Source organism: Homo sapiens, chromosome 14 (assembly GCF_000001405.40).
Source record: "Homo sapiens chromosome 14, GRCh38.p14 Primary Assembly".
Taxonomy (NCBI): domain Eukaryota; kingdom Metazoa; phylum Chordata; class Mammalia; order Primates; family Hominidae; genus Homo; species Homo sapiens.
The window spans coordinates 53,168,165-53,190,734 of record NC_000014.9 but is presented as its reverse complement, the minus strand read 5'-3'; the positions used below and the strand labels follow the sequence as shown (position 1 = coordinate 53,190,734).

The following is a 22,570-nucleotide window of genomic DNA, read 5'->3' as shown; positions in this document are numbered from 1 at the left end:
CTCACACCTGTAATCCCAACATTTTGGGAGGCAAGGTTGGAGGGTTACTTGAGCCCAAGAGTTTGAGACCAACCTGGGCAACATAGTGAGATCCTCTCTTTATAAAAACTTAAAAAAAAAATAGCCAGGCATGGTGACATGCACCTGCAGTCCCAGCTACTCCAAGGGCTAAGGTGGGAGGATGGCTTGAGCCTGGGAGGTCAAGGCTGCAGTGAGAAGCGATCATGCCACTGAATTCTAGCCTGGGTGACAGAGCAAGACCCTGTAAGAACCTATTTGAAAAAAAAAAAAAAAAAAAGGAGAAAATTTTAAATGTGGTCTTCAAACATAATGTTATGGTTTTTTGATATTATTTAATTAACATAAGTATATTTCACTTCTAAAGTCAGAGTAGAACAAAAAAGGCTGTATTATAACAGAGTTCTGTTTTTTAAACCAAGTGGGCGACTCTCTCTTGAGTACACCCACACTCCCCCTTTTTGAGTGTGTACTTTCCACGAAAAAAGAAAAAACAAACTGGGCACAGTGGTTCACACCTGTAATCCCAGCATTTTGGGAGGCTGATGCGGGAGAATCGTTCAAGACCAGTCCTGAGGACTTAGCAAGATTCAGTCCCCGTTAAAAATTATATATATATATATAATTTTCTATATAAATATATATAACATATTATACACAGACACACACACATACACCCCAAGTGAATGATTTTTCAGTTTCCTTTTAATTCTAGATCCTTGAAGACCATTAAACTCCTATCTTTTATTAGATGATTGTTTGAGGCATATATAATCATACCTTTTAACTGCTGCTGGTGATCAGGTATACTAGTCCATTCAGAGCTAAGTTCTCCTCTTATACAACACCTGAGAAGAAATACGTTTGAATTATTTACAGAGCAAAGGCTGTGCCAGTGGAACTGAGGCAATAGCAATGTAAGCAGAAATATAGAAATCTATGTGGTATAATAGAAAGCATAATATTAAGTTCTGTCACTAACTAGCTGTGAGACTTTGAATAGCTCACTTCAGATCTCTGGGTCTTAGTTTCTTCATCTATAAAACAGAGTAATTGGACTTGATAAGTGGTTCTGAACTAGAATAGGCATCAGAACCATTAGGAGAGCTTCTTAAAAGCATCCATGGGCCAGGCGCAGTGGCTTATGCCTGTAATCCCAGCACTTTGGGAGGCTGAGGTGGGCGGACTATGAGGTCAGGAGATTGAGACCATCCTGGCCAACATGGTGAAACCCCGTCTCCACTAAAAATACAAAAATTAGCTGGGTGTGGTGGCGGGTGCCTGTAGTCGCAGCTACTCAGGAGGCTGAGGCAGGAGAATCACTTGAACCTGGGAGGTGGAGGTTGCAGTGAGCCGAGATCACGCCACTGCACTCCAGCCTGGGTGACAGAGCAAGACTCCATCTCAAAAAAAAAAAGTAAAAGAAAATGAAAAGCATCCATGCCAGTCCCCCATCCCCAGTTATACCCCACACCACCACCCCATCCCAGGCCTGGCAGGTGCTCTCCAATGAAATTCTCTAGGTCATTCTGGATAGACTTCTGGATTCTTTCCACCTCCCATCTAAGAATCTCTAAGCTATGAAATATGTCTTTATTTTCTCTCACGTTATCTCAAAGTGGAGCCAAGTAAGAGAAGCACTTAAGGCACTTAAATGGAAACTTGAATATTTATTAAACAAAGATGTCTTCCTATCTTATTCTGGTTGAAATCCTAGAATTCAAGCTCCCAGAGGCCATTGCAAACTTAGGCTATATCTAGAGCTTTAAAAATGAGACATGATTCTACATTCTTTTAAAACTTTCAAATCTGTACTGGCCTCAACATTTGTTCTGTTTCATAATGGAATGTCTTTTTTTTTGTTAAAGTTTGTTCAGAAAAAAAAATGTATCCTTTCTAGCTTGAATAGTCATTTAATCATAATCAAAATAACATTGGTTAAATGCCTTATTCTGCCTGATACAATGCTAGAAAATTCATAAAACGAGAAAAAGAAATCATTCCTGGTCTCTGAAAATATGTTTCAAAATCAATAGCATAAATAGCCAACCTTGAAGGTTATGGTTTCATGATTCAAGATGCAGAATTTCATGATGCATCATGAATTCTTTTTTTTCCCAAAGCACTTGAATATTTATTACCTATTTTTATCCACAGATCAGCCTTTTGAAATACAATCAGAAGGCATGTCATTCTTATACAATAAACTAAAAAAACAGATTAGATTCCTTGTTTTCTGTGAACAACGAGTTTGGGAAAGGTGGATAAGATTTGTAGCCCCAGTGTCTAGCACAACATAGGTGCTCAATAAATATTTGAATAACTGGATGTGTTGCCTTCTTTCTCCAACTAACTCTCCCAGGCAAGCAAGCAGCAGGTTACCTGGACTCATCTGAATCATCACACACGATACCATGAGAATGAGTATCCACTCTCTTGGCTTGGAGTTGCTGATTTCTGAGGTTTTCAAGTGGTAATGCAGTGAATAGACCAGGAGAGACACTGCGGACATGTAATCGCATGCGTTGTTATTTTCACTGACTTCAAGGATGCTTTTAATTACCTCCTGATTCCTGGGGCAGCCTCAGACTCGCTGCCTTTTATAGCAGCTGTAGCAGCTACAACTTTGGAATAGTTGACAGCTGTTCACACTTATTCATCTTTGTGCAGCATCTAACACAGGGCCTGGATTTAGGGGTTCAATAAACATTTGTTAAATTGAATTACAGAGGCTGCTAGGTCTAAAAACTACTGATGTGTGGCTCCCATGCCTAGAGATTCAGATTTAATTGGTCTTCAGTATGGCCTTGTATCAGTGTTTAAAATTTTTTTTTAGGTGATTTGAAGGTGCAGCCAAGGATGACAACTATTGAATAGTCTTCATATACCCTGTCCTTTATTAAGAGGGAGATTAGTAGTTCATAAAACACACACACACACACACACACACACACACACACGAGATGTTAAAGAGAGACTAGCATCTTAACAGAAAATTTCTCTCTAATGTAGTCAGAATTCAAAGCTCAGAAAATAGCAGGAGGACATTCAGAGAGAAATAAGCACAAATGCCACTGACTTTATGAAACCTTTCAATGGCATTGCTTTGTTCCTAAGATACGGCCCAACATTCTTTGTTTTGTTTGCTTATTTTTTGAGATAGGATCTGTCACCCAGGTGGAGTGCAGAGGCACAATCACAGCTCACTGCTAACTCGATCTCCCAGACCCAAGTGGGAGACTCAGCCACCAAAGTAGGTGGGACTACAGGCATATGTCACCATGCTAATTTTTTTCTTAATTTTATCTTTTGTAGAAATGAGGTCTCATAATGTTGTCCAAGCTGGTCTCAAACTCCTGGCCTGAAGCAATCCTCCTGCCTAGGCTTCCCAAAGTGCTGAGATTACAGGTGTGAGCCACCACACCTGGCCTGGCCCAACATTTTCTCATGGCTACAAAGCCTCTATCATGACACCCCAACCTGGCTTTCCAATCTCATCTGGTGCTGCCTCCTCCCTCACCCTCTTTGCAGCCTGCCTGCTGGCCTTCTCTCAGTTCCATGGTCTGCCATGCCCCTTCCCACTTTGGACCCTCCCAGCTAGAATACTGTTCACTCCTCATTCTTACTTTCATCCCAACCATCCTACCCAAGCCTTTGCCTTGCCAGCTCCTAAGCACTGTGGGAGTCCATGACTGAATGTCATTTTGTCAGGGAACAATGCTTTCCTTGAACCCTCAGAACAGAAGTTATGCCTTGGCTCAGCACCTGTCATAGCACTCATTACAGCTATCATCAATTATTTATTTGGTTAATTGTTTAATGTCTGTCTTCTTCACACAGGAATGGGATTGGATTGATCTTGTTTGCCCCTCAATGAGCCTCTGCTACTGAATCATTCTGCAACTTTGGACATATTATTTAACCTCGCCAAGCTTCAAGTTTCTAATTAGTAAAATGGTAATATCAGTACTACTTATCTCATAGGATTGCTGTAAGAATTAAATGAGATCATTCCTGCAGAAGGCTTGTGGTTCAGTGCCTATGACATAGTAAGTGCTAAAAATAAAAAAAAAAATAAAAAAATAAGGATGATTATTCTGAAAAGGTCTTTAGCTTAGGCATGTTTCAGATGGCCTCTTAAGGCCCCTTCCCAACTCCCTCTCACAAGTGTATGATGCCACATCATTTTGGAGTTTAGGGCTTAAATAACAGCTACTTTATTCCCTTCCAAAATATGTAATCAAATCAGAAATAAAACACAGAAGACAGAAAAATAAATATCAAATTGTTAACTTTAAAACAGATAAAACTCATTGGATAATGTGACTTTAGATATAAAACCAAAGGGGCTTATTAACACCCCTCCCCAAATTGAATTTGCCTCTCCTTATGGGCAGAGATGCTTCAGCAGGCAGACCACAGAGAAGAGCAGAAAATGTAGGCATTCTAGGTATAGACTGGCTCTGCAAGACAAACCCAAAAGGCACTGAGCTAAGTGACTTCACCAGTCAGGTAAGTTATCACATCTCCTTGAAGGAAGAGAGAGAGAGCAGAAGATAAAATGTGTCCTGCCATGCCTTTCTCTGCTGGGGAAGGGAGTGGATCATCTATTCCTTCCATGGAAACAGGAGTGGGAAAGAAGTACTCTCTCCCTCACAGTGTGGTTCCAATGCCAGTAGAATGGTATTTCTCAGAAGATAATTATAAAATTTACTTTGAAAAACAAGTCATACTGTACTATGGGTGATATTTCTGATAATGATATACCAGAAGTTTGTTGAATGATTTGTCTTTTAAATCAGGTGGTGTCTCTAGGTGTCTGTATGAATAACAATGTTTGAGGATAACATCAAGAGTCTTAATCTGAGGCCCCTCATAGCTAAGGTCCAGGCTTACTCTGGCCTTCCAAGATCACTGCCAATCTCTTGCCCGTTCTTCAGGAGAGACCCTGATTTTCAAACTAGTGCAGGTCTGAGACCACTTTTTTATACCCGTTGATGTCAAAATGAGAAAAATAAATTATGTAACTCCTGTGGTCAGAATGTTTGTGTTCCCCCTAAATTCATATGTTGAAATCCTAACCCCTACGGTAATGGTATTAAGAGGTGGGGCCTTTGAGAGATGATTAAATCATGGAGTCACACCGCTAAAAAATGGGATGAGTGCCCTTGTATAACAGACCTGAGAGAGACCTCACCCCTTCCACTATGTGAGTACACAGCAAGAAGGCAGCAGGCTGTGAACCAGGAAATGGGCCCTCCCAGACCCTGAATCTACAGGCACCTTGATCTTGGACTTCCAGCCTCCAGACCTATGAGAAATAAATTTCTTGGCCGGGTGCAGTGGCTCACACCTGTAATCCCAGCATTTTGGGAGGCCAAGGCAGGAGAATCACCTGAAGTCAGGAGTTTGAGACCAGCCTGGTCAACATGGTGAAACCCCATCTCTACTAAAAATAAAAAAAAATAGCAGGGCATGGTGGTGCATGCCTGTAATCCCAGCTACTAGGAGGCTGAGGCAGGAGAATCGCTTGAGCCTGGGAGGCAGAGGTTGCAGTGAGCCAAGATCACGCCATTGCCCTCCAGCCTGGGTGACAAGAGCAAAACTCTGTCTCAAAAAAAAAAAAAAAATTTTTTCTTGTTCATAAGCTACCCAGTCTATGGTAGTTTGTTATGGCAATACAAACAAATTAAAACATAACCAACCACTTTTTTAGGGAAGCTAAATGTATAAGGCCTTATTAAAGATTATCGCATAGTTTTTAAAACCATGGACTTTGGAGAAATAAATCCAAATTCTGACATTACTATATGACTTAGAACATATTACCTCTTTGTACCTCAATGTCCTTATCTATAAAATGGGAACAATAACAGTACCCATCTCATAATGTTGTGTGAGTAAAAGAGTACATTCAAATAATTTAGATCAGCATCTTGCCTATGTGTTCAATAAATGTTAGCCACTATTATTCAGTTTGAAAGACCATTGTTTATTCTGGAATTATATCCACTTTATCACTTTGGTATTAAACTGTCTCTTCATAAAATTATATCAATTGTTTCTAGTAAATCCCTTTTTTAATTTCCTTATCTGATGAAATTAAAAGTTGGCAAATTATAATTGCCCCTCCAATTTTTGTTTTTAAATATAACCGATGCGTAAAAAACAAAGCATAAAAAGTAAAGTAGAGGTTTCTCTTCAAAGACTTTCCTCCCCATCTAATTAAGAATAAATAGTAACTTCTCTTAGAAGCAAAATTTATTCAAAGATCTGTGCTAACATTCTTAAATATCTGCTAGCCGTAATAAAGAAATCAGTGTACTTTATGTTCTTAGCTCCCATAATTTAGCCTAAATATTTGCCCTGGCATGCTTACACTAGTCCAAGCAAGCATTAGGTTATAGCCTGTTCCTCTTATTTGAAGGTGTTTTTACCTTTTTCAGCATTCCACAAGTTACTGCCACCTTCCTTTGTTCTCCTCTGCCCTTGCCTCTTTTAAAAAGTTCTAAGTTGCTAGCCAATCAGGACAAATACAGAATGTGAGGTCCCATTCCAGCCAATGGAAACTGGACACAGCAGTAAAGTGGACCATCAGGTTATAAATGACCCTGTCTCCTTTGTTTGGTGCATTCTCGTGGCAAAACTGCTGGCGAGTGTGCCCTTTCTGCAGAAAGTATAAAAATGGCATTGCTGAGGAAATTAAATTTGTGTTCAAGTGCTATTTCTTTACAGCACCAAGGAACAAGCATTACAAATAAAAGTATCTAGAAACCACTTCTAAAACGGAAAATTAAGCTATTTTTCTCCTTCTCACACACTCATGGAACACTTTTATGACCAAATGTGTTGTGGTTTTTCCCCACATACCAAGCAATTCTCCAGTAGTGTCTCCAGCTGGGTGTGTTCTAACTCAAGCCGGCACTGTCTACTTAGAGATAGTGTCAGATCCCACAGACTGAGGGCTCAATCCCACAAGACTGCTCCCTACTTCAGATGCCAATCTGAAGTAGTAGGTTGTCACCTATACTGATGACTGACAAGCTATAAGTCAGGGCTCCCTCTAGCCCCTCCTCAGGTTCAATTAATTTGCAAGAGTAGCTCACAGAATTCGGGGAAACACTACTTACATTTGCCAGTTTATTGATGAAGGATATTTTAAAAAGATAAAAAGGAACACCAGATGAAGAGAATCATGGGGTGAGGTGTTGGGGGAGGTGCAGGCCTTCCATGCCCTCTCCTGGGCACCACCCTCCAGGAACTTCCACTTGTTCAGCTATCTGAAGCTCAATCCTTGTTGGGGAGTTTTTAGAACTTAATGTCCAGCCCCACCCCCTTTCCTGGAGGTTGATGCTGAAACTTCCAACCCTCTAATCCTCTAATCGCTTGGTCTTTCTGGTGATTTGGCCCTATCCTGAGGCTATCTAGGGGCCCTACCCTAAATCACTTTATTAGCATAAACTTCCTCGTTATCTAAGGGGCTCCCTATGAATAACAAAAGACATTTCTGTAACTCAGGAAATTCCAAGTGTGTCAGGAACTGGAGACAAAGATCAAAGATACTGCTTGTATTTCATATTATACCACACCACTGAACTACAGTGCAGTGCTTCCCACTTTCCTTTTATGAAGATCTTAAAGGTAAGGAGATAGAAATAAATAAATATATATATATATATATATATATATATATATATATATATATAGTAATTAACTTTTAGAATATTACCAACTCTCCTGCCCCTTTATCCACATAATTTGTCTTTGTTGCAATGTAGTATCCTACCAAGGTTCTGTTAAAGGATTTGCACAAAGGTCTGCAGGGCTCTGTGAAAATGTTGATGGGTTACACAGTCTTCATTCATGGTTAATTATTCTGCCCATTTTCCTTGATGTGGCATCATGCAGTGGTGAATTTATGATAAACATGTAATCGTCCTACAAATTCTTCCTGCCTGCTGAACAGACAAAATCAATTCACTGAGACCATGGCATTAAGTAGAGAAAAAGTTTAATTGACCCAAGGCCAGCCCACATGGGAGAACTGGAGTTATCACTCACATCAGTCACCCTAAAGGCTCAGATGTTAGGGGTTTATATGGACAATTTGGTGGGCAGAGTGCTAGGGAATGGTGCTGCTGATTGGTTGGGATGAAATCATAGGGGTGTGGAAAACTATCTTCATGCACCAAGTCCATCTCTGGGTTTGGGCCACAGGATCAGTGGAGTTTAAGTGTACTCAGTTTGAAAAACATCTCAAAAACACCCATATTAGGTTCTACAACAGTGATGTTATCTACAGGAGCAATTGGGAAGGTCACAAACCTTGTGACCTCTGGCCACATGAGCCCAGAATGGTAAGGGATTAGAAACTACATCTACCTCTTAGCAGAGTGCAGACCCCTCTCATAATCCTAACCTCGTGGCCTTTCATTGCTTTTTCAAAGGCAGTTTAATTTTGGGAAGGGCTGTTATCATCCTTGCTTAAAGGTTAAACTATAAACTAAATTCCTCCCAAGGTTAATTTGGCCTATGCTCAGGAACAATCAAGGACGACTCAAAGGTGAGAAGCAAGATGGAGTTAACTACGTCAGATTTCTCTTACTGTCATACTTTCACAATGGCAGTTTCAAATGCTCCTCATGATGATAATGTCTGTGGTGACAGTGATCCTAATATTCTCTGTCCCTTTGTTAGATATGAGTTCTAAATTTCTTTTCAAAGAATCAATATGTTAGTATGTTCAATTATTTGCCTTCTACTTTTAAACTTAACTTCTTCATAAAGCAATGTCTTTCGATTACCTGCTCCACCGACTCATTCCGATTACCTGCTCCACCCTGACTCATTCCGATTACCTGCTCCACCCTGACTCATTCCGATTACCTGCTCCACCCTGACTCATTCCGATTACCTGCTCCACCCTGACTCATTCCGATTACCTGCTCCACCCTGACTCATTCCGATTACCTGCTCCACCCTGACTCATTCCGATTACCTGCTCCACATTGACTCATTCCAATTACCTACTCTGTCATAACCATTTTTCCCCGCCAAACCACTTACCCCGTCACTCTCTTTAAATTAGCCAATTGGAATTAGTTTAGCCTGTGTGGTCTAACCCTAGCCAACAGGGGAATGCCACAGCAGCAGAGGCCATGTGCATCAGGGATAAGAACCCCTTCCCCTCCCTTGTCCAAGTGTGTGCTCACCATTGCTCCATCTGTAAGGGCACACCCTTCTATAGAAGTGACTTGCCTTGCTGATAATTAAAAAGAAAATTTTATACTTGAGTGCTATTTGTTTTGCAGCACCAAAACTTTACTTATAACAATTTGGGGGCTCGCCTGTGATTACATTCCCCTCCAGGGGTGGTCTCTGGTTCTCTCTCGTGAGGAGGTGTGCCCCACCCCCTTGTGGCAGCCTCAGGGGTGAGAAATCAAGACCTACCCAGTGTGAGGAATAACCTGAGCTCTCAGCAACATGGAAAGAAACTGGCCAGCAACCTAGCTTAAAGTATCCTCACATACTGCCGCGATGGCTCTGTGCACAGACCAAGGAAGGAGAAGCCCACAGGAGCCAGTAAAGTATTTCTTTGGTGGTCAGGACTAAGGAAAAAGCCAGGGGGCGATAAAGCATTCATTGGTTAGGACATACCAAGGACAGAGAAACCGCAGGGGCAGTAAAGCATTCCTTAGTCGGGACTAGGGAAAGAAAGCTGCAGGGGGCGGTGAAGTACTCCTTAGTCAGGATGTCTTGGAGGTTAAAAAGAGGTGAGAAATCCCCATTGGGGGGTGCTGAATCTCAAAAAGAGGTGAGAAATCCCCATGAGGAGGGGTTGAACCTCAGAAAGTGGTGAGAAATCCCCATGCTGAGAGTGAACCTCAAAAAGAGGTAAGAAATCCCCATGCGGGGGGTTGAACCTCAAAAAGAGGTGAGAAATCCCCATGGGGGGGGTTTAACCTCAAAAAGAGGTGAGAAATCCCCATGGAGGGGGTTGAACCTCACACAAACCTCTGGTAGTAAGAAAAATATTCAGAACTCCCCTTTCCTTTCTTCTCAGGGGAAGAAAGAATAGCTCCACTCCCGCCGGTTGCTCTCATAGGGGAAGGCGAAGGAGAGGGGAGAACAGCAGCATAAGCGGCTGGCAGAGGCAGGGAAAGACCAGCAGAGAGGACAGAGAAAAGAGAGAGAGAAAAAGAGAGGCAGAGAGAGAGAGAGGAAGAGAGAGAGAAGAAGAGAGAGAGACAAAGACGGAGTCGAAGAGAGAGAGAGGCAGAGACAGAGGAAGAGACAGAGAGACAAAGAGGGAGTCAAAGAGAGAGAGGGAGAGACAGAAAGTCAAAGAAAGAAAGAAAGAGAGAGATAGAAGTAGTAAAGAGAAAACAGTGTACCCTATTCCTTTAAAAGCCAGGGTAAATTTAAAACCTATAATTGATAATTGAAGGTCTTCTCCATGACCCTATAACACTCCAATACCACTTTGTTGTCAGTGTAAACAAGGGCGTAGCCCGAAAGCACTGAGGCCACTGACAACCCATAGCCTTCCTAATCAAAAATCCTTAACCCAGTAACCCGCAGATGGCCCAAATGCATTCAATCTGTAGCGGCAACAGCTTTGCTAACAGAAGAAAGTAGAAAAACAACTTTTGGAGGAAACCTCATTGTGAGCACACCTCATCAGGTCAGAACCATCCTAAGTCAAAAAAGAAAAGAAAAAAAGAAGCAAAAAGGTAGCTTACTGACTCAAGAACCTTAAAGTATAAGGCTATTCTGTTAGAAAAAGATGATTTAACATTAACCACTGAAAATTCCCTTAACCCTGCAGGTTTCCTAACAGGGATCTTAATTACCTTACAAAGGTCCAACCAGACCTAGGAGGAACTCCCTTCAGAACAAGACAATAGATGGTTCCTCCCTCCCGGGTGATTGAGGGAAAAAGACACAATGGGTATTCAGTAAATGATATGGAAACTCTTGTAGAAGCAGAGTTAGGAAAATTACCTAATAATTGGTCTGCTCAAACATGCCAGCTGGTTGCACTCAGCCAAGCCTTAAAGTACTTACAGAATTAGGAAAGAGCCATCTATACCAATTATAAGTTCATATGGACTGAACAAGGTCTTATTAATAGCAAAGAATAATTGAAATCCCAAACTTACAAAAGTAACTTTACTTTACAAAAGTTAAGTTTGCTAAAAGTCAACCGTGTAACATGTATTATCCTAACTTCTAATCCGTGGCCTTAGACAGCCTAGTCCACAGACATGAAGGAAGTTCGCTTTGGAAAAGAAAGGTTATCATCTTCGAGAAAAAATAGTCGGGGGGATAATTTATATAAAAAGGAATGTTATATGGTAAGTTCTTGTCCTAAAATAAATTAACTGGTTGTTTAAAGAAAGGGATGTTTGCAACAAGTCAAAAAGTTGAGGCATGTCAAACAATTGTCTGTAAAAGTTGTGAAAAAAGAAAGTTATAACAGGGAATTTATGCAAGAAATGTTGTATAATTTAAAAGTAATTAGGCCTCCTGAATGTAAAACTAATGAAGAAACAGTTTATGTGCAAGGTGTATAAGGAAAGTAAAATATATCTTTGGTAAAAGGATTATAAGGAGGCATAAGAATGTGGATTTTTACCTACATTAAAAGGTTAAAAAATTTGTTTTAAAGGTTTAAACAAGTTTTGAAATGTTAATTGTAAAGGAAATTCTGTGTGTAAACATATTGGCCAAAGTTAAAGGGGTATCATCCAGTTTTTCTGTGAACTGGACATTAAAATAAAAGCACAAAAGTTTTTCTTAAAGCACTAACCTGCTCTTTAACAAAAATTATAAAAGGTTAAAAAGAGACTATAAAAATCTTACCTTATGGTCAGACATTAAAAATTGAATAAATATGCCTACAAGGTTTTATTACAATTAAGTTTAACATTAATAACACACTAATATAAAGGTGAAATTTAGCTTATCTGGTATAAAAATCATACAGGAAGCATTGTCAAATATAAAACGGTGTTTGGCTTTCTTTGGTCTAAAAAGTAATAAAAATAGGTGCTAAAGGAAATTTCTCAGTAAGAAGGCACCAAGGACTATAAAGTCCACTGCTGATGTCCCCACATTTAAAACAAAAGGTCAATTTCTTAGAAATTATATACTTGGTTTATCTTCCATTTTCCTTTCCCTCAAAACTAAAAGTCTTTTAGCACAGGTAGCACCCCTAGAATTTCTGGTAAACTAGCACCAGCCTGAGGATCACATTCTCATCAAATGGTAGAAAGAAGGAAAACTCGAGCCAGCCTGGGAAGGACCCTACCTTGTGCTGCTAAACACCAAGACGGCTGTTCGTACAACAAAAAGGGGATGGACTCATCACAGTTGAGTCAAAAAAGTGCTGCCCCTCCAGAGTCGTGGGCCATAGTCCCAGGGGAAAACCCTACCAAACTAAAGCTAAGAAAAATTTAACTCTCTTTCATCTATTCTATTACTCTTTCTTCTTTCCTCGCTCTATTGCTGACCATCTAGTTATTAATATAACCAAGTCAATTTCACCTCAAACTATTGCATGTAATGCTTGCCTTGTTATACCCTGTGGGGACTTGCCAACTCAAAGACAGCTCTCTGCTTCAGAAAAGTAACTCTGTCCCTCCTGACTCCTCAGACTAGGCATTAGTGAATTGGGACCATTTAATCCGGGGAGATTTTAATAAAGACCCCAGTGTCAACCAGCAGTCTTGCTCCCAGATGTACAGCTTTTATGCCATAGTTGGTCCAACATTCTGTGGACCACTAAAGAGCAAGGATGGACTGCCCCAATCTGTTTTTATAATTTCCTAAAACCATGCATTCATTTTACTAGAGGGACACCCTGCCCCCACCCCACCCCCCAACTGTCAGCTAAACCAGTGCAATCCTATAGAGGTTATTATCTCAAACCCTCAAAGTTCTTCCCCTTTTCTAAGCTGGTTCCCTTCTTTAAGCTGGTTTTATGCTATGGGGGCTGAGGTTTCAGAGACAGACCCTATTGGATTCTTTGAAATGCATTTCTTTGATCCCCCACCACCTGTACCTTTCTCTAAGCCTTCTTCCAAAACCTCTCACAACGGAACAATTGCTCCTCCTCCATTTAACAACAAGACCAAGACAAGACCGAGACAGCTATCATAGAAGTTAAAGACTTAAAACAAATTTTGGCAATTAAGACAGGATATCAAGATGCAAATGCCTGGTTGGAATGGATCAAATATTCCATCTGCACGTTAAACAAAAGCAATTGTTATGTTTGTGCACACCGCAGGCCAGAGGCCCAGATTGTCCCCTTTCCACTAGGGTGGTCCTCCAGTTGACTGGGCGTGGGCTGCATGGTAGCTCTTTTCCAGGATTCTACAGCTTGAAGTAACAAGTCATGCCATCCTCTGTCTCTGCTATATCCCAAAATCCGGCACCCAGCAGGTCAGCCCCCAAGGGCCATCCAGCTTCCATCTCCCAACACTAAGTTCACTTTGTGTCTCTCATGACAGGGAGGAAACTTAGCATTCCTTGGAGACCTGAAGGGGTGTGGTGAGCTTAAGAATTTTCAAGAGCTTATCAATCAGTCAGCCCTTGTTCATCCCCGAGTGGATGTGTGGTGGTATTGTGGTGGACCTTTACTGAACACTCTGCCAAATAACTGGAGTGGCATCTGTGCTTTAGTCCAATTGGCTATCCTTTTTACCCTGGCATTTCATCAACTAGAGGAAGGGAAAATAAGACATCATAAAGCGAGAGAAGCCCCTTATGGGTCTTTCAACTCTCACGCCTATTTAAATGCCACTGGAGTCCCACGGGGAATACCAAATCAATTTAAAGCCCAAATCAAATAGCTGCAGGATTTGAGTCAATATTTTGTTGGGTGACAATTAATAAAAATGTAAATTGGAAAAACTACATCTATTACAACCAACAGTGATTTATTAACTACACTAGAGGTGCTGTTAAAAGAATAGCTGAGCAATTAGGGGCTACTAGCCAGATGGCTTGGGAAAATAGGATAGCCTTAGACATGATATTAGCAGAAAGAGGAGTCTGCATCATGATTAAAACTCAATGTTGCACCTTCGTTCGAAACAACACCGCCCCTAACGGAAGTATAACAAAAGCATTGCAAGGTCTGACTGCTCTATCCAATGAGTTAGCCATCAACTCAGGGGTAAATGACCCCTTTACAGAATGGCTAGAAAAGTGGTTCGGTAAATGGAAAAGAATAATAGCCTCAATTCTTACTTCCCTCACAGCCGTAATGGGTATACTTATCCTTGTCTGGTGTTGTGTCACACCATGCATCTGTGGGTTGGTGCAGAGGCTCATAAAAACGACACTTACTAAAACCTCCCTTAACTATCCTCCACCTTATCCAGTGAAGCTTCTTTTAGAAAATCAAGTAGAACACTAAGCCAAGACATGTTAAAAAGTTTGAAAAGAAAGAGTTGTGAGGAAATGCAAGAGGAGGGGTTGTTAGATATGCATTCTAAATTTCTTTTCAAAGAATCAATATGTTAGTATGTTCAATTCTTTGCCCTCTACTTTTAAACTTAACTTCCTCGCAAAGCAACCTTTTTCGATTACCTGCTCTACCCTGACTCATTCCAATTACCTTTTCCACCCTGACTCATTCCGATTACCTGCTCTGTCATAACCATTTTTCCCACCAAACCACTCACCCCATCACTCTCTTTAAATCAGCCAATCGGAATTATTTAGCCTGTGCGGTCTAACCCTAGCCAATAGGGGAACGACACAGCAGCAGAGGCCATGTGCGTCAGGGATAAGAACCCCTTCCCCTCCCTTGTCCAAGTGTGCGCTCACCATTGCTCCATCTGTAAGGGCGCACCCTTCTGTAGGAGTAACTTGCCTTGCTGATAATTAAAAAGAAAGTTTTATATTTGAGTGCTATTTATTTTGCAGCACCGAAACTTTATTTATAACACCCTGACTTGAGGCAATTGAGGCACTGAATGAACAAACCGTTCATTTGAACTGACTGCAAGACAATCGAGGAATTGGTGAAACAATTCACCAATTTCACCAGTGAAAACAAAACTTATTCTGATTTCCAGACTGACCTTATGAAATCACTGTTACTCTGATGGTCACTACCGGGAGGCAAAGTCATATTTTGAAATAAATTTGGGGATTAAATGAGGAAATGAGAACCCATGTAGTAAGTGAGAATCCATGCCAGCAGTAACACCCAGAAGTTTTTCTACACATTCCACTGAGATAAATTTTAAAAGTCCAGAGCATTTTCCCAGGACCCCCTTCTTACTTACATTGCAGCATTGCTGATTAAAATTGTGATTAATTCTGGCCAGGACCACAATTAAGTGGTAATATTTTATCATACAAACATATAGTCTTTTGCTTAAAACCGATGTGTACGGGGATCTTTTACTATTAAACTATCTGGGCTCCTTTAGCCTGTTCCTCCAAGCCAGCTCTAAGCATCTGGTACATCTCTTTGAATGGACAAAGGAGTGAGGCCAAAGCTGTAGTCCCTTGTTGTCTGAGCTCTTGATCTGCCTTCCCTGACAGCCCTGCTTGCAGAGAAACAGAGAGATTAGGGAGATGCCTGGGGGCTGGGAATGTGACAGGTGACAGTTTCCATCAGCATTTATCTCTACTTGGCAAAAATAAGAAAGGTCTGGAAACAGGCCTCTGGTGGAACGTGTTGGCAATCACAAAGCATCCTGAGTCGTGCTTTGGAATCCAGAAATATATGTGTATTATCCATATAACCAGGTAACAAGCCTCATAGTGACTGTGAGAGTCACTAGAATTTGACCTTCATTGAAATAAGAGCAACCATTTATTGGCCAAGAGATTTATACGCATTGCCTTTAATCATTACAATAACCTCTGAGATAATCTATTTTATGCTTGAAGAAAACTGAGATTGAGGAAGATTTGATGGTTTGTACAAGAGCACAAAGCCATAAATGTAAGGGGCCAGGGATCCAATTCGGGCTTTTCTGGCTCCAAAGCCCAGGCTCTGTCCACTGTGCCAATCTGCCCCTTGCTAGGTACAAGGTAAGACTGCTCTCTGCAAGACCGGGCTGCGTTTGTGAAACTGTCTTTCTAATTAACCTTTGTGCTCAAGTGTTTCTCAGAAAAGGCCACCCCCTCAGCAATTCTTAAGTGTTTGGCTAGTTGTTTGACCCAGACTTGTTAGTTTGTTTGTTTTCCTGTCATTTTTTCAAAAATCCAAATCTAGGCATAATGTGTACATTTGTCTCAGTGGATCCATTTCTCCTGGGTCTGAAGCTAGCTCATCTCAACCATCCCTTCACTTTGGAAAAGTCTCCCAAGCAAGCTTTGCTAACCATCAGCAAATAATCCCTTTGGCTACTACCGCTTAAGAAGTACCTGATTCTGAAGATATGTTCTGCTGATTTGTCACGTAGAAGAACGGAAGCATAGAAGATTGTTATTTATTTATTTATTTATTTATTTAATTTATTTTTTGAGATGGAGTCTTGCTCTGTCACCCAGGCTGGAGTGCAGTGGCAGGATCTCGGCTCATTGCAATCTCCACCTCCCGGGTTCAAGCGATTCTCCTGCCTCAGCCTCCCAAGTAGCTGGGACTACAGGCTTCCACCACCACGCCCAGCTAATTTTTGTATTTTTAGTAGAGACAAGATTTCACCATGTTGGCCGGGCTGGTCTCGAACTCCTGACCTCAGGTGATCCTCCCACCTCTGCCTCCCAAAGTGCTCGGATTACAGGCGTGAGCCACTGTACCCAGCCACCAAGTGGGGAAAATTAGAGCATAGTTAAAACATATTTCTTTGTGTTCTACTCCCACTTATTTTTTTTTTATTTATTTATTTTGAGACAGAGTCTTGCACTGCTGCCCAGGCTGGAGTGCACTGGTGCAATCTCACACTCACTGCAACCTCTGCCTTCTAGGTTCAAGCAATTCTTCTGCCTCAGCCTCCCAACTAGTTGGGACTACAGGCACACACCATCACGCCTGGTGAATTTTTGTATTTTAAATAGAGGCGGGGTTTCGCCATGTTGGCCAGGCTGGTCTCGAACTCCTGACCTCAGGTGATCCTCCCACCTTGGCCTCCCAAAGTGCCACTGCACCCAGCCTGTACTCCCACTTCTGACTGCCATCAACCCAATTAGCTATATCAAGGTCCTCATGCCTGGGCAATAACATACCAAGGGGAGGTCCTAAGGCTTGAGACATGCAGCCAATATCTGGCCTAGAGTGAAAATCTACAATCAGGAAGGCAGGAGAATGGTGCCAAAGCTCAGAATCCTGACCAGTCAATCAGTTGGAGGGTAGTCAGGACCAGAATCCTGACCAATCAGCTGGCTAAACAGATACAGATGCAATGAGACTAGCCAAATCTAGTAAGGAGACATTAAACCAGATGTGGGCAAGTCAGGCAGGACAATGGTAGCCCAAGAAAATTTGAAGTAATTCCTTGTGTAACTGGGCTTGGCCCATTCTGCTGAGCCAAGGTGGAATGAAAGGATTCAACCATGTTGGAAAATCTTAGAGGTAACATTGTTTACAACTTTTGCACTGAGAATATAGGTGATTAGAAGTTACATCTGGGCTGGGCACAGTGGCTCATGCTTGTAATCCCAGCACTTTGTGATGCCAAGGCAGGTGGATCGCTCGAGCCCAGGAATTCCAGACCAGCCGGGGCAATGTGGCAAAACCCCGTCTCTACAAAAAATACAACAATTAGCTGAACATGGTGGTGTACACCTGTGATTCCAGCTACTCAGAAAGCCAAGGCAGGAGGATTGCTTGAGCCCAGGAGTGCAAGACCAGCCTGGGCAACATGGTAAGACCCCATCTCTACAAAAAAAAATAAATACATACATATATACATATATATACGTCGAAGATTGGACAGGAACACTGACAATTTTGGCAGATGCCAGAATGGATAAATGATGACAACATTTATTTTATATATATATATATATATATACACACACACATATATATGTATATATAAAAAATAATTTTTTAAAAAGAAGTTAGGCCGGGTGTGATGGCTCAAGCCTGTAATCCCAGCACTTTGGGAGGCCGAGGTGGGTGGATTACTTGAGGTCAGGAGTTCAAGACCAGCCTGGCCAACATGGTGAAACCCTGTCTCTACTAAAAATACAAAAATTAGCCGGGCGTGGTGGTACATGCCTGTAGTCCCAGCTATTCTACTCGGGAGGCAGAGGCAGGAGAATCACTTGTACCCGGGAGGCAGAGACAGGAGAATCACTTGTACCCGGGAGGCGGAGGTTGCAGTGAGCCAAGATTGTGCCACTGCACTCCACTCCAGCCTGGGTGACAGAAGCCAGACTCAGTCTCAAAAAAAAAAGTTACATCTGAAAGGTATTAATTTAAGACATAAATACCTAAAGGTATATACCAAACAGCTACAGTTGAAAATCAATTCTGACTGTATTTCAAAAAGCAATAAACAGCACATTTGCATGGTAAGAATTTTTCAACAACACTAAAGAGACCACTTCCTTCATCATCATCAGGAGCTCTAACCATTCTGGCTCAGTATCTTTAAACCCACAGCACATGCCAAGCATATATACATCAAATGTCCTTTCCCATTCCCTCTTTTGGACTTTACCTGAGAAACCCTCAGTCTTCCTACTTCTCAACCTGTCTTAACACTTCCATGTACCAGCCCTGTTTAATACCTGACTCTGACAGGCTCCTTCTGATAGCTGTTCTGCAGTTCTGCCCCTGATGGCCTGATAGGTACCTTTGTATACCAGCGCTCTTCTGTATTGCAACTGCTCCCTTCTCTGAGTTGTCCCTCCCTTAACTCATTTGTTCCAGGCTTCCAGGGAAATCAGAGAGAGCACCCTTTCCTTTACTCTGAACCATGCAGTGATTACTCCAATAGTGAGAAATAGATAAAAATCTCTCCTTTCCAATTATCTTTTATTTTTTTGGATTTTTCCCTTTTTTTTTTCTCTTCCCAGAAAAATCTCAGGCACACTCCAATTATCTTCAATCCCATCTATAATGATCCATTCCTTTATTTTAAATGTGGGGGCTGCCTTTTTTTAAATTTAAGTATTTCTTTTATTATTTATTTATTTATTTATTTATTTATTTATTTATTTATTGAGACAGAGTCTCGCTCTGTCGCCCAGGCTGGAGAGCAGTGGCACGATCTTGGCTCACTGAAACCTCTGCCTCTCAGTTCAAGCGATTCTCCTGCCTCAGCCTCCCAAGTAGCTGGGACTACAGGTGCATGCCACCATGCCTGGCTAATTTTATATTTTTAGTAGAGACAGGGTTTCGCCATGTGGGCCAGTCTGGTCTCGAACTCCTGACCTCAGGTAATCCACCCGCCTCTGCCTCCCAAAGTGCTGGGATTACAGGTGTGAGCCACTGTGCCCAGCTAAAATTTAAACACTTACAAGACAGAACATTTTAGTATGAATGAATATATCTCCATTTTTAACCCTGGGTCCAAAGAGACCAAGATAATGCCTGGGGAAGAGAAAGCAATAAAAAAAAAGAGAGAGAGACAAAAAGGAAACTAGAGGCACCAGACAACATCACTGCTTTCCAATTCTGCTATTAATATGAACAGCACTGAAGTTTTTCAAACAATATCCTATCTTAGCTACATCTTTAGAACGAGTAAGTCAAATAGTTTACAGGCTTATTATTGTCTTACACCCAAAATCAGGAACCCAAAATATAGACCCATTAATATTTGTGTAGTCGAATAATATTTTGAGCTATTAACCTAGAGTTCCTCTCCTTCCTCCCATCCCTTCTTCCCCTACCCTACCCAGTATTTCTTAGTTCCACTCACCCTTCCCTGAGCCCTAGCAGCTAAGACATTCCATCTTCACTGTCTCAAGGTAGAACCTAAGGAGCCTGCTAGGTCTTTCAGTTCTCCCCACTCAGCTGGATATGACAGAGTGTAAATGGCTACATGATGTTTCCCCCTGCTCAGAGGGCCTCGCATTTTCTATAGGTCACTATGTCACTCAAAAAATACTACAAATGTAGCTGAGAGAAGGCTAGCAGGCCTGAAGAAGCCTTGCGCTTGGGACAAGGAAGACAAAACAGTGATCCATTGATCCACCATCAAAGATCGGACAGGAACACTGACAATTTTGGCAGATGCCAGAATGGATAAATGATGACAACATAAAACAGATGCTCCCAGTTCCTCACCTCCATTCTGACTCCTTGGTACTGGTGAACATCCCAGAACTCAGACCCTGAGCTTAATTTTCAACTACCTGGCAGAATAGAGAAAAAAAGGATGTTTCTTGTACAATTGAATGTGTAGCCTGAAATGTACACCCACTATGTTGGTTAATAGAACAAGGTGCAATGTGACTAAATAGAAACACATGTTTAAGAAACAAGAAGACAAGGCACAAGCTGGACATAGAAGTACACTGAGAGCCTCTGCCTTATACCAGGTGAACCACAGGGTCCATGTACTGAGATAACATGTGTAAGGGTCCTATCCCTAGGACTCCAGTGCTAGGAACTCCTGCAGAAGCAGCACCTCCCACCTCACGCTCCAGAGGCTTTGCCCAGTGTGAGCTGATGAATGAAGTTGGCTGGGAACGTATTTCAGTTAGCAAGAATTATAATACATTTATTTCAGACCCCAACTTATGAAAATTCTTTTGCAAGAACACTAAAGCTCAAACACTGTAAAGGAAAGAAAGGGGTCAGGGTTGGAAGAAGAATATAAAATAATATAAAACACAAAAATCAGATAATTGTGAAAATACAGAAGTATAAAAAAGAGATAATACATGAGATCATGGAAGTGGTCTGTAGGCCACATCCACCCTCTCCCAGTCCCCCGGGACACTCCTGCTACTTCAATAGCTGTAGTTTCCTCTGGGTTGACGTGATATATCAAAGTTCAATTACTTACATATTGGTTGATAGCAGTATGCCAGATGTCCCCATTTGGTCAAACGGCCAAAAAGTTTATGTAGTCATGGATGCTGATTTGGGGGTTGGAAAAACAATTATAAAAGGCTATAGGCTGGGCGCGGTGGCTCATGCTTGTAATCCCAGCACTTTGAAAGGCTGAGGCCGGCAAATCGCCTGAGGTCAGGAGTTCCGAGACCAGCCTGGCCAACATGGTGAAACCCTGTCTCTACTAAAAATACAAAAATTAGCCGGGCATGGTGGCAGGCGCCTGTAATCCCAGCTACTTGGGAGGCTGAGGCAGAAGAATTGCTTGAACCCAGTAGGCGGAGGCTGCAGTGAGCCAAGATCGTGCCATTGCACTCCAGCCTGGGCAACAAGAGCGCAACTCTGTCTCAAAAAAAAAAGGCTGTAGCTAAAAATGACTTTTAGCTCAGTTTGTTACACTAGGTAGTCAGGCAGATATGAGCAGGGCAGGAGGCAGCACCCTCCCCACCCCCTACCATGAACATCAGGCGATCATCGGGTGATGGTCAGGCGGTTAACTGTCTCCCTAAAATAATAATTGGTTGCAGCGAGCACAAGGGATAGGCAGTTTCCCAACAGATGGAAAAAACCTGAAACTGGTGATCAGCAGCTTCCCAGTAGTATCTCAGGAACTGGTTGAGTGGGCTCACAATGTACACTAAGAGGCAAAATGGGGCAGTTTAACTGGTATATGACCTCCTAGGGACATTCGGCAGGTAAGGGAAGAACGCCTGGAGTGAGCATGCGTACAACTCCAGTAAACACTGCGTATGCTTCCTTTCCAAGGGCTAGCAGGCCACTGCGCATGCGGACAGCACACCCACAAGGGAAGAATCAGGGCAGAAGGGAGGCAAGACCCCGGAAGTATACTTACATAGAAAACCCTAAGTCAAAAGGTCAAAGCGTGCACTTGTCCTTCAACTCGCCTGCTTGGCCCTCTTCCAAGTGTACTTTCCTTCTTTTTTTCCCTGCTCTAAAGCTTTTTAATAAACTTTCAGTCCTGCTCTAAAACTTGCCTCGGCTGGGCGCGGTGGCTCACGCATGTAATCCCAGCACTTTGGGAGGCCGAGGTGGGCGAATCATTTGAGGTGAGGAGTTCGAGACCAGCCTGGCCAACATGGTGAAACCCCGTCTCTACTAAAAATACAAAAATTACCCTGGCGTGGTGGCAGGTGCCTGTAATCCCAGCTACTTGGGAGGCCGAGGCAGGAGAATCGCTTGAACCCAGGAGGGGGAGGTTGCAGTGAGCCAAGATTGGGCCACTGCACTCCAGCCTGGGCAACAGAGCAAGATTCCGTCTCAAAAATAAATAAATAAATAAATAAATAAATAAATAAATAAATAAACAAACAAATAATACTTGCCTCAGTCTCTCCTTCTGCCTTATGCCCCTCAGTTCAATTCTTTCTTCTGAGGAGACAAGACTTGAGGTTGCTGCAGATGTGTACAGATTTGCCACTGGTAACAAATTTCCTCATATTACAGATGAGAAAAAATCAGACCCTGTGAGAGTGAAAGAGTTGCCAGAGGTCACATGTCTAATTAGTGGCAGAGCTGAGTCTGGAATCCAGGTTTCCTAATTTCCTG

At 42.0% G+C, this 22,570-nt stretch overlaps 1 long non-coding RNA gene across 5 annotated transcripts in view, besides 1 other annotated feature; it reads right to left on the bottom strand.

Annotated features, from left to right (window-relative positions):
• Positions 1-21,721, bottom strand: part of LOC105370502 (uncharacterized) — a 73,457-nt gene extending 51,736 nt beyond the window's left edge. Inside the window, exons 1-5 of one of the 5 annotated variants that reach the window (XR_007064168.1) lie at positions 21,460-21,721; positions 20,958-21,030; positions 20,234-20,301; positions 2,582-2,703; positions 799-866 (exon numbers count right to left, since the gene is read on the bottom strand). This is a non-coding gene — a long non-coding RNA (uncharacterized LOC105370502). The other 4 variants (XR_001750965.1, XR_007064169.1, XR_007064170.1 and 1 more) reach the window with 4 other exon arrangements.
• Positions 9,554-10,133: an enhancer, noted in NCBI's record as "active region_8402". NCBI's record gives its function as "activates an Ori minimal core promoter by ATAC-STARR-seq in GM12878 lymphoblastoid cells {active_cell/tissue: GM12878}" and the evidence as "EXISTENCE:reporter gene assay evidence [ECO:0000049][PMID:35858748]".
• Positions 21,722-22,570: the final 849 nt, after the last annotated feature.